This window comes from Homo sapiens, chromosome 2, assembly GCF_000001405.40.
Source record: "Homo sapiens chromosome 2, GRCh38.p14 Primary Assembly".
In the NCBI taxonomy this organism is placed as follows: Eukaryota; Metazoa; Chordata; class Mammalia; order Primates; family Hominidae; genus Homo; species Homo sapiens.
Window position 1 is genome coordinate 120,923,048 of NC_000002.12, and position 12,658 is coordinate 120,935,705.

Sequence of the window (12,658 nt, forward strand, 5' to 3'; positions counted from 1 at the left end):
CACAGCAATACACACATATGGCACACACACACACATATACACAGCAACATACACACCATATGCACATACACACAGCAACACACACATATGGCACACATACACATACACAGCAACATACACACACCACCTCCACATACACACAGCAACACTTATACACATACAGCACACACGTACACATATACACAGCAACACACACACACAACAGCACACACATACACAGCAACATACATGTACAACACACACATACACAGCAATGCATATGTACACATACAACACACACATGCACATAAACACGGCAGCAGACACATACCACACAGCATATGCATATACACACAGCAACACATGCATACAACATGCATGTACATATACACAGCAACACACATGTATATACACACAGCAACATGCACATACAACAACACACACATACAGCATACATATGCACGTATACGCAGTAACACACATGCACATATAACATCCATGCATATGCACACAGCAACACACGCATACAGCACACACATACACAGCAACACATACATATACAACACACAGCATATCCACATACAGCAACACACACACCACATGCACATACACAGCAACGCACATACACATACAACACACATGCGCATATAGCGATACACATACATATAAAGACACACACGTACTACAACAGAGACACACACGACACACTACACACATACACGCACTGCACATACTCACACATGCACGTGCAGCACACACATATACATACCCCACACACGCTACATGTAGACACATACCACACACATATGCAAACACACCTCACACACACGTACATACACACACACACACACCATGGCTTAGTCTTGTGGGGCAGAGAGGCAGCCTCAGTGGTACCTGTACTTCATGTTTGCCTGGCAAACCACTGAAGCTCACAATGTTCCATAGACTTTATAGACCTGGGTGAAGTTGCCTGAATCCTGAATCCTGAGCAGAGCATGTCAGCTCATAGCTGGGGGTAGGGTGGGGTGGTCTGGGCTCTGATGGCATTAGGAGACCCCCCCTCAGCCTCTGGAGGAGCAAGACCATGAATGGTAGGCACACCAGGGTGCTGGGGGATGGCCTGTGTGAAGACCAAGGAATCCTGGACTGAATGCAGCTTCCTGGGGTCGCTGGGAAGACCCAGGAGCTGGTATTTGCCAAGTGCTGAAAGCAGAGCTGTGGACTGTGTGTGCATTTGTTAACTAAAGTACATAGCAAGGTGGGGACGTGGTGGGTCGATGGGGGTCTGGGATCACCCTGGCACTTGGGAGCTGCCTCCGAGTGTCATTTAGGCTGGGTGGAGGGAAAAGCCATTCAGAGCCTTCGATTCTCCTCTTGGCACTGTCGTTTTTTAGTCCTGTGACTTTGGGCAAGGCCATGAATCATTCTTGGCTTCCGTTTCCTCATCTCTTTAATGGGCATAGTAACACTAGTTGCATCAGGGGGCTTCTGGATGTGCAAGGAAACATTTAGAAATACACACACACACACACACACATACACACACAACCATTTTTATTTTGTTGGCAAAATACTGAAATCTGGTCTGCCCTGCCATGTTTTTAAGGCCCTTTTCTACACATTTGGGAAAGCGAACACTGTTTCCCTGCTGACTCCCTGGGGATCCAGTGGTCTCTTGGTCTGTGAGCAAGCAGTGCTTGGCCCCCCACCCTCCCTAGGGTTTGCAACCAGTATGAGCCAGTTTTCCTGTGCCCCACATTAGTAAATTCATAGTTTGATGATGGACTTTGGAGGCTCCAAACATGAGTGCTACTTGTCCTCCTCAGCAGTGACACTTGTTGAGTGTGTCCTATCTGCACAGTCTCCGGGCGAAGCGCCTCCTGTGTGTGGGCTTTTTACGTCTTCACCACAGCCATGTAGGTAGTTACTGTTATCCATTTTCAGATGAACAAATGGAGACTCAGAGAGGCAAAGAAACTTACAAAAGTCATGCAGCAGGTGAGTGAGCTCTGACCCTCAGGGTTCCCAGCCTCCGGAGCACCTGGTGGTCCCGTCACAGCCACCTTAGTCACAGCCACATGCCCGGCTCACCTGTGCAGGGCCAGGGCCTCAGAGAAAAGGTTGTCCTTCCAGCACTTGGTGGCTCTGGAAGTGAGAGCTGGCCCAGAGGCTTGGACCACGTGCCTGCAACCAACTCCTCTTTGAGTCTGAGTTGGGGAAACTGATTGAATCAGGGTGAGAAGATTTGCTTTTTGTTTTTCCTGGTCCCCATGGAAAGTGCCAGTATTGTGAAATTATGAAGATGGAGTTGAACATGTAAAAATTAAAGTTAAAATTTCAGGAGAAAAATTTCTTCCCATTAAGAATCCATTGTGTTCAACCCAAGCATCCATTGACAGATGAGTGGACAAAAAAAATGTGGTCTATCCAATACAATAGATTGTTATTCAGCCTTAAAAAGGAAGGAGATTCTGGCACAGGCTGTAACATGGATGAACCTTGAGGACATTATGCGAAGTGAAATAAGCCAGTCTCAAAAGGACAAATACTGTCTGATCTTTCCTGCATGGAATAGCTAGCATGGGAAATTCATAGAGGCAGGAGGTAGAATGGTGAATGTGCAGGGGCTGGGGGAGAGTAATGGGAGTTAGTGTTTCGTGGGTGCAGAGTTTCAGTTGTGGAGATGGATGGTGGTGATGATTACACAACAATGCAAAGGGGCTTAATGCCACTCAACTGTGCATGTAAAAAAATGGTTTAAATGGGCCGGGCGTGGTGGCTCACGCCTGTAATCCCAGCACTTTGGGAGGCCGAGGCGGGCGGATCACAAGGTCAGGAGATTGAGACCATCCTGGCTAACACGGTGAAACCTCGTCTCTACTAAAAATACAAAAAAATTAGCCGGGCGTGGTGTCGGGCACCTGTGGTCCCAGCTACTCGGGAGGCTGAGGCAGGAGAATGGTGTGAACCCAGGAGGCGGAGCTTGCAGTGAGCCGAGATCGCTCCACTGCACTCCAGCCTGGGTGACAGAGCGAGACTCCGTCTCAAAAAAAAAAAAAAAAAAAAAAAAAAAGATTTAAATGGTAAATTTCAGATGTCTTTACTGCAAGAAAAAAAAAAAGAATTCATAGTATTTATGGTATTGTACCAGAATCTGTTTGCACAGAAACAGTTAGTAGCATTATTTTTCTATATTTTTTTGTTTGTCTGTTTCTTTTTTGGTTTTTTGAGGTGAAGTTTCGCTCTTTGCCTGTAATCCCAGCACTTTGGGAGGCCGAGGCAGATGGAGGTCAGGAGTTCGAGAGCAACCTGGCCAACATGATGAAACCCCATCTCTCCTAAAAATTTGTCTGCATTTCTTAGCCTAGCAGTCAGCTGACCTGTACATACCTATCACAAACCCATCCACATTTCTTTAAAATATTCAGAAATCCAAACTTAACCCTGCTTCCCACTGGCCTGTGGCCTTCAGACTGAGGGAGAGTTGACTAAGAAATCCCCACTTCTTAGCCCTTTTCCCAGTATAACTACTTTGTTAAAAGCCTTCTTTTCCTAAAGCCTATAATTATGTTTGCCTCCAGGGTACCCAGGAATTTTTTCTTTTAATAAACAAAGAGCATCCTACAATTATCATGATGATTTGTCGAGGGCAGGCCAAGTTCAGACAGGAGGCTGACTCAGCTCTGGAAACTGACACGCACGTGCTGGCGTTTTCGATCCTGGGGGCACCCGACAGCGTTTAGGGGTCAAGAATTAATATTAAGAGCTGGAGAACTAACAGATCCACATAGATGTCCACTTTATACTGCCAGCAAAACGGGACAGCAGTTGGGTGGGATTTGGCCTTCCTGAGGCTGGCGGCACCGTCTGTGGGCCGTGCCATCACAAATGGCTCTAGGTCAACACCTCCAGCCTGCGTGCACTGCAGCATCCGGATGCCGTAACCTGGTGCTGCTGGAGCCACACGCAGCCAGGGCCGGCATGGGCAGAAGCCGGCGGAGTTGGAGCCTGTCGCTCTGTCAGCCCTGATTTGCGGGCTGAGCCCAGTTTTGTGGCCCTGCCTGTAATCTCCCCGAGTTCAAAGAGTGCTTAGCTGCTTGTCTTTGTCAAGAGCGCAGTTGGGGATCTTTTATGTGAAAGATGTAGAATTCTCGGGCAGACTTTGATTATTTATTCATCCCCCTTCGTGGGTGTGTGATCGCGCGGGCACTGCGGAGCCCCTTGTCCTGGCTGCTCTTGCTATGAAATTCATTGAGCTTTAAAGCCCTTTGAAAGTAGCTTTTTGAGGGAGGGGGAAAGTTTTTGAAGTCTTGTTTCTCTCTCCCCCTCTGCAGTGCCGCAGCATCTCTTGCCACCATTCCATGCGCCCCTACCGATTGACATGCGACACCAGGAAGGAAGGTACCATTACGAGCCTCATTCTGTCCACGGTGTGCACGGGTAAGTCCTGCCCTCTGCCTGCTGCTCCTGGCGTGCAGTCACCTGCCATGGGGAGGCTGGGCCGGCAGCCTCAGCCACATCTCCTGCCTCTGTCTTTCTTTTGGGGGTTCCTGATCTACATTGTCCTGAGCGGGCGATCACCTTTGCTATCATGGCCTGGGACCCTGTGTGAGCATGTGCGTGGGCAGTGTATAAACACCAACCACCCCCGAGCCCACATCACCACTTATAAGGCTCTGGGCTTCCTTGGTGTATCTATACATGGTTTGGAGCTCTTTCTTCATCCATGAAGTGGGAATCCTCTCTAGGTCTAAGATCCCATATAAGTAAGGTGATCTTAGGTATCTGTTGTTCCAGCATAATAATTCAGAGCACCCTTTTTCACTTCTTCAAGTGTCCCCCTTTGAATAGTAAATTGTATAGTCACCATACTTAAAAGGACAAGCTCAAAGTGATGCTTTGGGGCCCTTCCTATTCCCAGCTTTGAAGTCCCCAGGTAGAAGGTGTGGGGTCACCCTGTGGTCTCCACCTGCCTAACCCTGTCCCTGTCATACCCACCTGGGGCCTCTAAGCCCATTGGCTGGTGTCATTTCTTGGCCTTTAGGGCTCAAAAGTCTTGGTCTCTGGCTATCCCATCCGTCCTCCTTCCAGGAAAGAAGGCCCCTCCTTCTCCCTACCCCCAAACTCTCCACTGCTCCCCGCACCTGCCTCCAGGAGAGCTCTTACAAAGGTCAGCCAGCCCCAAGACCCCTCTCGACCCAGCATCTTCATGCCCACACCCTCCAGCCCCCTCACCTGTTCATGCCAAGGTGCTGTCTGTGGTTCTGTCCCATGTCTCTGTGCCTGGGGCCAGCTGCCTGCCCAGTGTGCCTGGAATCTCCCCCCAACAGGCCACCTCCAAGCCTCAACCGAGGAGTCACCTCCTCAGGGGCAGTGTGATCCTTCACACTGAGCGGGGGCTGCTGCCCTCAATCCACAGCATCATCATCTGTTTTTGCACCTGCCTCCCAGCCAGCTCTGAGCTCTCCTCTCACCTCTGTGTCTCAATGCTGACATGAATAGGTGTACAACCAGTGCTCGCTGAGTGGAGAGCCTCTCCCCGCCTGCCGCCACCTATGAAGGCACATCCTCCTTCCTCTACCATCTCCCATCCCAGTGAAGTCAGTCAACACTTGCTGGGCCCTCACTGTGCTCACAGCATTGTGCCTCAGCAGAGTCCTGTTTCCGGACACCCATTGCCTCCCCAAGACGGAGCAAACCTGGGACTTCTACTTTCTTTTTAAAAACTGTTTTACTTTTAAATATTTTACTCTGAAATAATTAAGGTCATACAAAAACAGTTCCAAAAACCATAAAGGCTTTCTTGTATATGCTTCACGCAGCTCCTCAAATGTGGGCATCTTACATAACCCAAGACTGACAGAATGCTCTTCACTCACCCACAGAGCTTATCCAGATTTGCTCAGTTGCCCACTAGTGTCTTTTTTTCCTGGTTCAAGACCCAATCCTGGATCCCACGTGGCACTTGGTTGCCGAGACTCCTTCGTCATCTCCTGTCTGGGACGGTTCCTTAGTCTCTTTTGTCTTTCATGACCTTGGCAGTTTTAAAGAGTACTGGCCAGTTACTATATAAGATGTCTCTGGGTTTGGGTTTGCCTGATTGATGCTGTTTCATGATGACATTCGGATCATGCGTTTTGGGGAATAATACTATAAAAGTGATGTTTGTCCTTTGCAGGCATCCTGTCAGGAGGCCTATGATCTTCACGCTTCTCACTGCTGGAAATGTTGATCATTTGGTTATGGGCCTGTCTGCTGGCTTCTCCGCTTTAAAGTTGTCCCGTTCGTAATTAATAAGTATTTTGTGGGGTAATACTTAGAGGATATGGAAATATCCTGTTTCTTATCATATTTTCATCCGTTAACTTATACATCCATCGATGCTTCTTGCCAGAAACAGTCGTTACTAGTGTTTGCCAAATGGCGATTTTCTGTTTCTATCATTTTGTCCACATTTAGTGGTTGGAATTCTCCTGTAAGGAAAAGCTGTCCCGCCTCCCACATTTCTTTGTATATTTGGTTGTCTATTGTTATGCACATGGATGCATGGTTTTTTGTGTGATTCTATGGGTTATACTCTATTACTACCAATATTTATTGTGTTCTTCCAGTTGTCCCAGATTTGGCCGTTGGGGTCCCTTCCAGTTGTCCTCTGTGTCCCGTTGACATGTTGGGAACTTTTTGTTTTATTTCGGTGTGCATACCTGGTTCTCACTTGACTAGGATCCGCTGCCGCAGCCTTATGTCTGCCTGGTGGGTGTTGGAGTCATTTCCACCCTCTGCTCACCTCCAGGGCCCCTCCACCTGCAGGTGGCTGAGACCACAGCTGGAGAAACCTCTGGAAGGTGCATGTGTTTGGAACTAGTTGGGCCACCCAAAAATTGCCCAGTCAGTGGTGTCTGAGACTCCTAGGAGCATCCAGGGAGCTCAGTCCCTATTTGGGAGGGGGTTGCTGTTGCTGATTTCTTGCTCATGAGTCATGTTTGGCTGGTTCCATGACACGGATCCTGGGCATAGCAGGCCTGCCTCAAAGTGCTCCCTGCACGGGATGTTGGTCAGGAGACCTGGGCAATGCTGAGAGCTTTGTGCAGAGACAGTCCATGCTGGAGTGCTTCTGCCTGCAGGTGAATGTCCTGGTTCACCTCTCCCTATACACCTGAAGTGTGTAGAGGCACCACCAGAAGTGTAGGAAGACCCCAACAGCGATGACTGCCTTCCTCATCATAACTGACCTTGTGAACCGGCCCTGCTGTAAATGCTTTTATGTGTTCATGCCGTTTAATCTTCTCAACAACCCAAAAAAGAGTCATTTTGTGTTTTTCCATTTTACAAATGAAGGAACTGAAGCAGCACAGAGTGGGTAGATGACTAACCCTATGGCTCACCCACTTTGCAAGTTAGAAATCAAGTTCCAGCCCCCTGAGCTCAGGCCCTCCGCTGCATGCTGGCCTTTCTTGTGGGAGCGTAAGTATGGACCATGGGTCCCTCTGACGAGTCCAGCCGAGCCCTTCTTGACAGCACCTCGGCCCTTCGTTAGGGCACTGCCCCGAGTCCAGTCGCTCCCAGAACCCCTGGCCAAGCAGCAGCAGTGTCCCCTGGGAGTCTGTTGTGGGTACTGCAGATCCTCAGGCCACAGCCCAGCCCCATTGAGTCAGAGACTCCACGGAAGGGGTCTGTGTCTATGTGTGCCACGCCTTGCAGGTAATGCAGTTGCAGGCTCCAGCTTGACAGCCCTGGCTACAGGCAGAGCCCCCACTGAGAAGGGAGGCCCTCAGTGCCGTCCTTCCCTGTGTAGGTGGGAGCCCTGGGCTGGGAAGGGGCCTGGGTCTTCACCAGGCTTTGCCATGCTCCAGCTCTGGGTAGGGCCTGCTTCCTTCCCTTGCCAGTGAGGGTGGGGTGTGCGCAGAGCACTTGGAGAAGGGGGCCGTGGATGCTGGCATGCAGCAGGGAGGAGTGGCCCAGCCAGAGGCCCACAGAAATGGCCTTGTCCCTCATGGCCTACACAGCTCCTTCACTGGTTGGATTCCTGAAGAGATTCCTAAGGCTGCTGTAACTAATTACCACAAACTTCATGGCTTAAAACAATGTAAACTTATCCTCATATCATTCCGGAGGTCAGAAGTCTGAAATAAGTCTTATGGTACTTAAAATCAAGGAGTTGGCAGGGCTGGTTCCTTCTGGAGGCTCCAGGAGAGACTCTTTGACATTTCTAGGTTCTGGAGGTTGCCTGCATTCCTTGGCTTACAGCCCCGTCCTCACACACATCACCTTTTCCCCCTTGCTCTGTCCTCACCTTGCCCTCTTCCTAGTCTGTGGGAGTTTTCTCCCCTGCTTCTCTCTTCTAAGGACACCTGCTATTGCCTTTCGGGCCTACTGGGATAATCCACTTGTGGCTCCCATTTCAAGATCTTTAAAGTAGTCATGTCTCTTAAGTCCCGTTTGCTGTAGAAGGAAACACTTAACAAATGCCAGGGATTAGGGTGTGGATGTTCTTGGGGGCTGTTATTCAGGTTATTTGGGATCACTGAGCCCCAGTGTGGAGTCTGGCATCAGCCTGTAGAATACAGTAAATCATATTTATAATTTGCATGGGTCTGCAGCAGGCCAGGCACGGCCCTGGGCCCTGGTATATTGTACTGGTGAATCTTCCTGATTGCTCTGTGAGATGGGGGTTAAGCTTCATCTTGCAGATGCAGACATTGAGGCTCAGAGAGGCACAGTGACTTCTGTGTGACATCCCTGCAAGGTAGTTACTTCCGTGAGGGCAAGGAGACCAGGCTCTGGGGTGCAGATCTCCTCCCCAGCCAAGGAGGGGCTAGTCTGGTTAAGCCCCAGTGATGGGCAGCAGCATGGTGCTCCCAGAGCCCCCCGTCCCTACGCGGTCCTGCTGGGGTGGGCTTCCAGCGGCTCCACACTATCCTCAAGACAGTTGGTTCCCGCCAGACTGAGTGGGGGACACAGCAAGAGCCTCGGGGCTGGCCCTGGGCTCTGGAAAGCCCATGCCCTCACCTCTTCCGCCCCCAGTGTCCCAGGTGAGAACCAGGGCAAAGCTTGTGAGGAAAATGGCCCCGTGGCTCTGGCTTCCATGATGAATGTGGTTGGAGCCCGGTGGAGAATCCCGATCCATCAAGCCCATGTTGTAGCTCGCTTCTCCCTGCCAGCACCAAATGTGTCTAATTACACAGATGTTTGCACAGCAAATGAGGTACGGTGTCATCTCATTTCTGTGTCAGCTGAGCCTGAGCCTGAGCCTGCTGCCCTGAGCTGGTGACCATTTCGTGGGTGTGCCCGCCCCTCAGCCCTTGCACCTCCTGCTTTCCACTGCTCAAGCACCCAGACCCCCTCCCCGTTCCCTCTCAGGATCCTGATAGCTCCAGGGAGGGCGCACCCAGTGTGTGCAGGCTCCAGAGAGGTGTTCCCTGCACTCTCTCATTCTGCCCTGCCCTCTGCCCCTCCGGAGTACCTTGGTCATCACCCAAGAGCCTGCCATTGTCAGTTCTCAGCCTGCCAGGCTACCCGCACTGGGACCCATTGCCGAACCCTCCCTAGCTGTGATTAACATGAATTAACTCACCTCAGCTTTCTCATCTATAGAAGGGCCAGATCTGCTGAGACAACCCACATAACCCAGCCAACTGAGTTATTTTGAGAAGGAGACAGGGTAATGTGAGTAAAGCGTCTAGAACACTTTGGAAACATTCAATGGATATGAGCAACAATCGTGATCATTGTTGTTATCCTCACTTGCTGATTTGAGAAGGGGGCCACGGCAGGCTGGGAGACTGGGTGGCAGAGGCCGGCCACAGCATGTCCTTGGGAGAGTTGACTGTCTGGGGACTGTGGCACAGAAGGTGGGGGATGGGGCTGAAGGAGTGCTGTGGTGCGGTGTGGTGGGGGTCTTTCTTTCCCCCAGTTGAGGAATTTGGACTTCCTCCTTTTGGCAACCAGGAGCAGCGGGGAGTGGTCAGATTTATTTTCAGGCAGCTACAGCAGTAGTTAGGGAGTAGACAGGAGAAGGGCGGGAACTGTGGTGAGAGGACCTGCCAGAGCTGCCACAGTGGCCCTGGGGAGAGGGGAGCAGGACCAGGGCTGACCACCCGGCTGTAAACAGGCAGCTGCACGTGGGGAAGGCAGGGCATGGAGGTTGGTGTGAGGACAGCCTTGCAGCCCAGCCCAGCTCGATGGCCTCCTCATAGACACCCAAGCCCACTCCTCTGCAGAGCACCCTTCCCGGTCACTTAAGGTTCAAATGCACAGCAGGCTTGCATGGCTTACTGATGCTCACGTGGTTCCAGGGGAGGAAAGTCACCACCCACCCGTGGACTCCTGCTGCAGTGTCTTTGGGCTGTGCAAACCACAAGTGATGGGGAGACAAATGGGGCAGGGGTGTGTGATTGCTGGTCAAGCAAGGTTCTCTTGAAGCCCCCATGGGGACATCCCTAAGTCTCCAAGAGTCTGTACAAGGGCGAGAAGAGAAGGCCGGCTGTGAATAGGGCCACACACCCCCAGCAGTCTCTCCAACCTTGTGACGCTAACAGGAAAGAGAAGCTCTTTGGATGCCCTCTGGGCCCCCTGCCTCCCAGAAATAGGCTTGCCAGGGTGTCATGGGGAGCAAGGCTGAGGTGTGGCGAGGAAGGGTCCCTAAGTTGGTGCTCCCCATTTCCTCAGTGTATGTGGTCACACAAGCATGAGTCCGGCCTGCCCTGGGCCAGCGTTAACTTGTGTCCTGGAGAGGAATGTAGAAGTCCATGCTCCTGGTTCGGGGGGCTGGGGTGGACCTTCAGCTCCCTATGTTGCTTTTGAGGACCTTTCCAGCCCTGCCCTGCCCTGCCCTGCCCTGCCCTGCCCTGCCCTGCCCTGCCCTGGGGCTTCAGAGAAGACCAATTTCAGCTGCTTCCTGCCCAGAAGGGCGTACAGAAACTGCCCCATGCAGAGGTTCCCAAACCTGGCTGCAGATCTGAACACACAGGGTGGGTCTTAAAGATGCCCATTCTCAGGCCCTGGCCCCAGGAGTTCTTGTTGATTTTCAGACTAGGGTGAAGCCCGGAAATCTGCTTATTTACAGGCGCCCATAGGCCAGAGTTTGGGGACCACTGCAGGCGCCGCTGCTTGCTTGACGTCCGGGAAAGCAGCCCCAGAGCTGCTTGTTGGCTTTCTGGACTCATCACTGACAGCGCCTCGCCGCCAAAACACGGGTTGTTAAAAATCCCCTGGTTCCTCGTGATAACCCATTCACAGACAAGTCCCTCCTAAACCTATTCATATGACCTAAACCTATTCATATTCTCAGCTTGCAAAAGGCAGTGAGTGTATGGGGTGGGAACAGCTGCAGTATCTCAGCCTTCCTTTCTCCTCCTGCCTGGCACCATCTGACCTCTGACATCCACGACTCCACCCCCGACCTGACCACTGCTGATGGCTTCCTGCAGATCTCTTGATCCTGAGCTGTAGTTGGTTTGCATTGCATTGGCAGTCACGGCCCAAGGCCACCCTTCCTGGAGGAGTGACGAGGGGGCTCTTGCTGGCACAGATGGCTCAGGGTTGTAGCTATCAACCCAGGCCCAGGTATGTTAGGGCAATAGAGTGAACGCCAGCTGGTGGGCATGGGGGCCTCACCTCCCTTTCATCTGCATGCTTGGTCACGCAAAATGCATATTACCCAGGGCCTCCGGAGACAGCATTAAGAGTGTCTGAAGCCCCACTTGGTCCCCGAGACTGCATGTTAATGGGGATGTTTAGCCGGGTGTCGGTGTGCCTTCACTTAAGAGAGTAGTTTCTTTGCTGCCACTGGGCCGAACTCATGAACTTTCCAGTCTGGGGGGATTTGAAGATTGCTTTTTCCAAGGTCAGTGTCCCATAAAGACTGCACCGTTCACCATGAGATTAATGAACACAGCAGCCTGCTCAGCCTGTGACTCACCAGTGTCATCCCGGGCCTTTATGACTCTGTCCTCAGTCATTCACTGAGACGGGTGGGTTGAGCAGAAAGATATTTTCTTCTTGATTCTTGGCACAGCACCCGAGGTTCACGATTCATAGAGGATTGGCTTTGTTTGTTTTTTGGGAAGAACCTTCTCCTCCCTCTGCAAACATGCTCGTTTCTTTTCAGAGCCTAGAGGAAGGAGGAGACTTCCGAAAGGCATGTCCACCTGCCCCCTGGGATGAGATGCTGGGTGGGCCCAGCGTCACCCACCAGGCAACTTGTCCTTCCTTTCCACGTGGGTCCACACTGCCTCTCCATCTCCAGGGAGCTCTTCCTTAAAACCGGCTGTTGCTGACCACTTCTTCAGAGCAACTGGACAGCAGGTAGACAGGGAGCCCAGAAACCCTGGGTCCAGGCGATGTGTCGGGCAGCACATCCTTCCACGGCTGTCTGAGGGTAGACCGACTAGATGTGGAGCCTTGGCTCACTGTGATGTAAACGGCCCTGAGACCCCATCAGGCAGGCCCCTCCCCATCTCTGGGCTGTGGGATACTTGGGTCAGACCAGCAGAGGAGCAGTAGCAGGAGTCTGTGCCCAGCCGCCGGCTTATGTCATGTCACCCTCCCTGCAAGGTGGGATTATCACTCCCCAATAATCACTCCCACTTGATAATTGGGGAAACCGAGGCATGGGGAGGCTGACTGCCTTTCCAGTGACACACTCCTAGTAAGCAGCATAGATTACTTACTGGGCATT

At 51.6% G+C, this 12,658-nt stretch overlaps 1 protein-coding gene across 8 annotated transcripts in view, besides 1 other annotated feature; it reads left to right on the forward strand.

The window, feature by feature from the left end:
• GLI2 (GLI family zinc finger 2) overlaps window positions 1-12,658 on the forward strand; it is a 256,786-nt gene that overhangs the window by 187,180 nt on the left and 56,948 nt on the right. For 7 of the 8 annotated variants that reach the window (NM_001371271.1, NM_001374353.1, NM_005270.5 and 4 more), the window contains one exon: window positions 4,314-4,419. The exons of the other annotated variant lie outside the window; for it this stretch is intronic. In NM_001371271.1, coding sequence (NP_001358200.1) covers window positions 4,314-4,419 — 106 coding nt within the window. The remainder of the gene's footprint in view (window positions 1-4,313; window positions 4,420-12,658) is intronic. 8 annotated transcript variants of the gene reach the window in all.
• Window positions 11,410-12,609: an enhancer, noted in NCBI's record as "P300/CBP strongly-dependent group 1 enhancer chr2:121692033-121693232 (GRCh37/hg19 assembly coordinates)". NCBI's record gives its function as "activates an origin of replication core promoter dependent on BRD2, BRD4, P300/CBP, MED14 and CDK7 cofactors, with strong dependence on P300/CBP, by STARR-seq in HCT116 cells {active_cell/tissue: HCT116}" and the evidence as "EXISTENCE:reporter gene assay evidence [ECO:0000049][PMID:35650434]".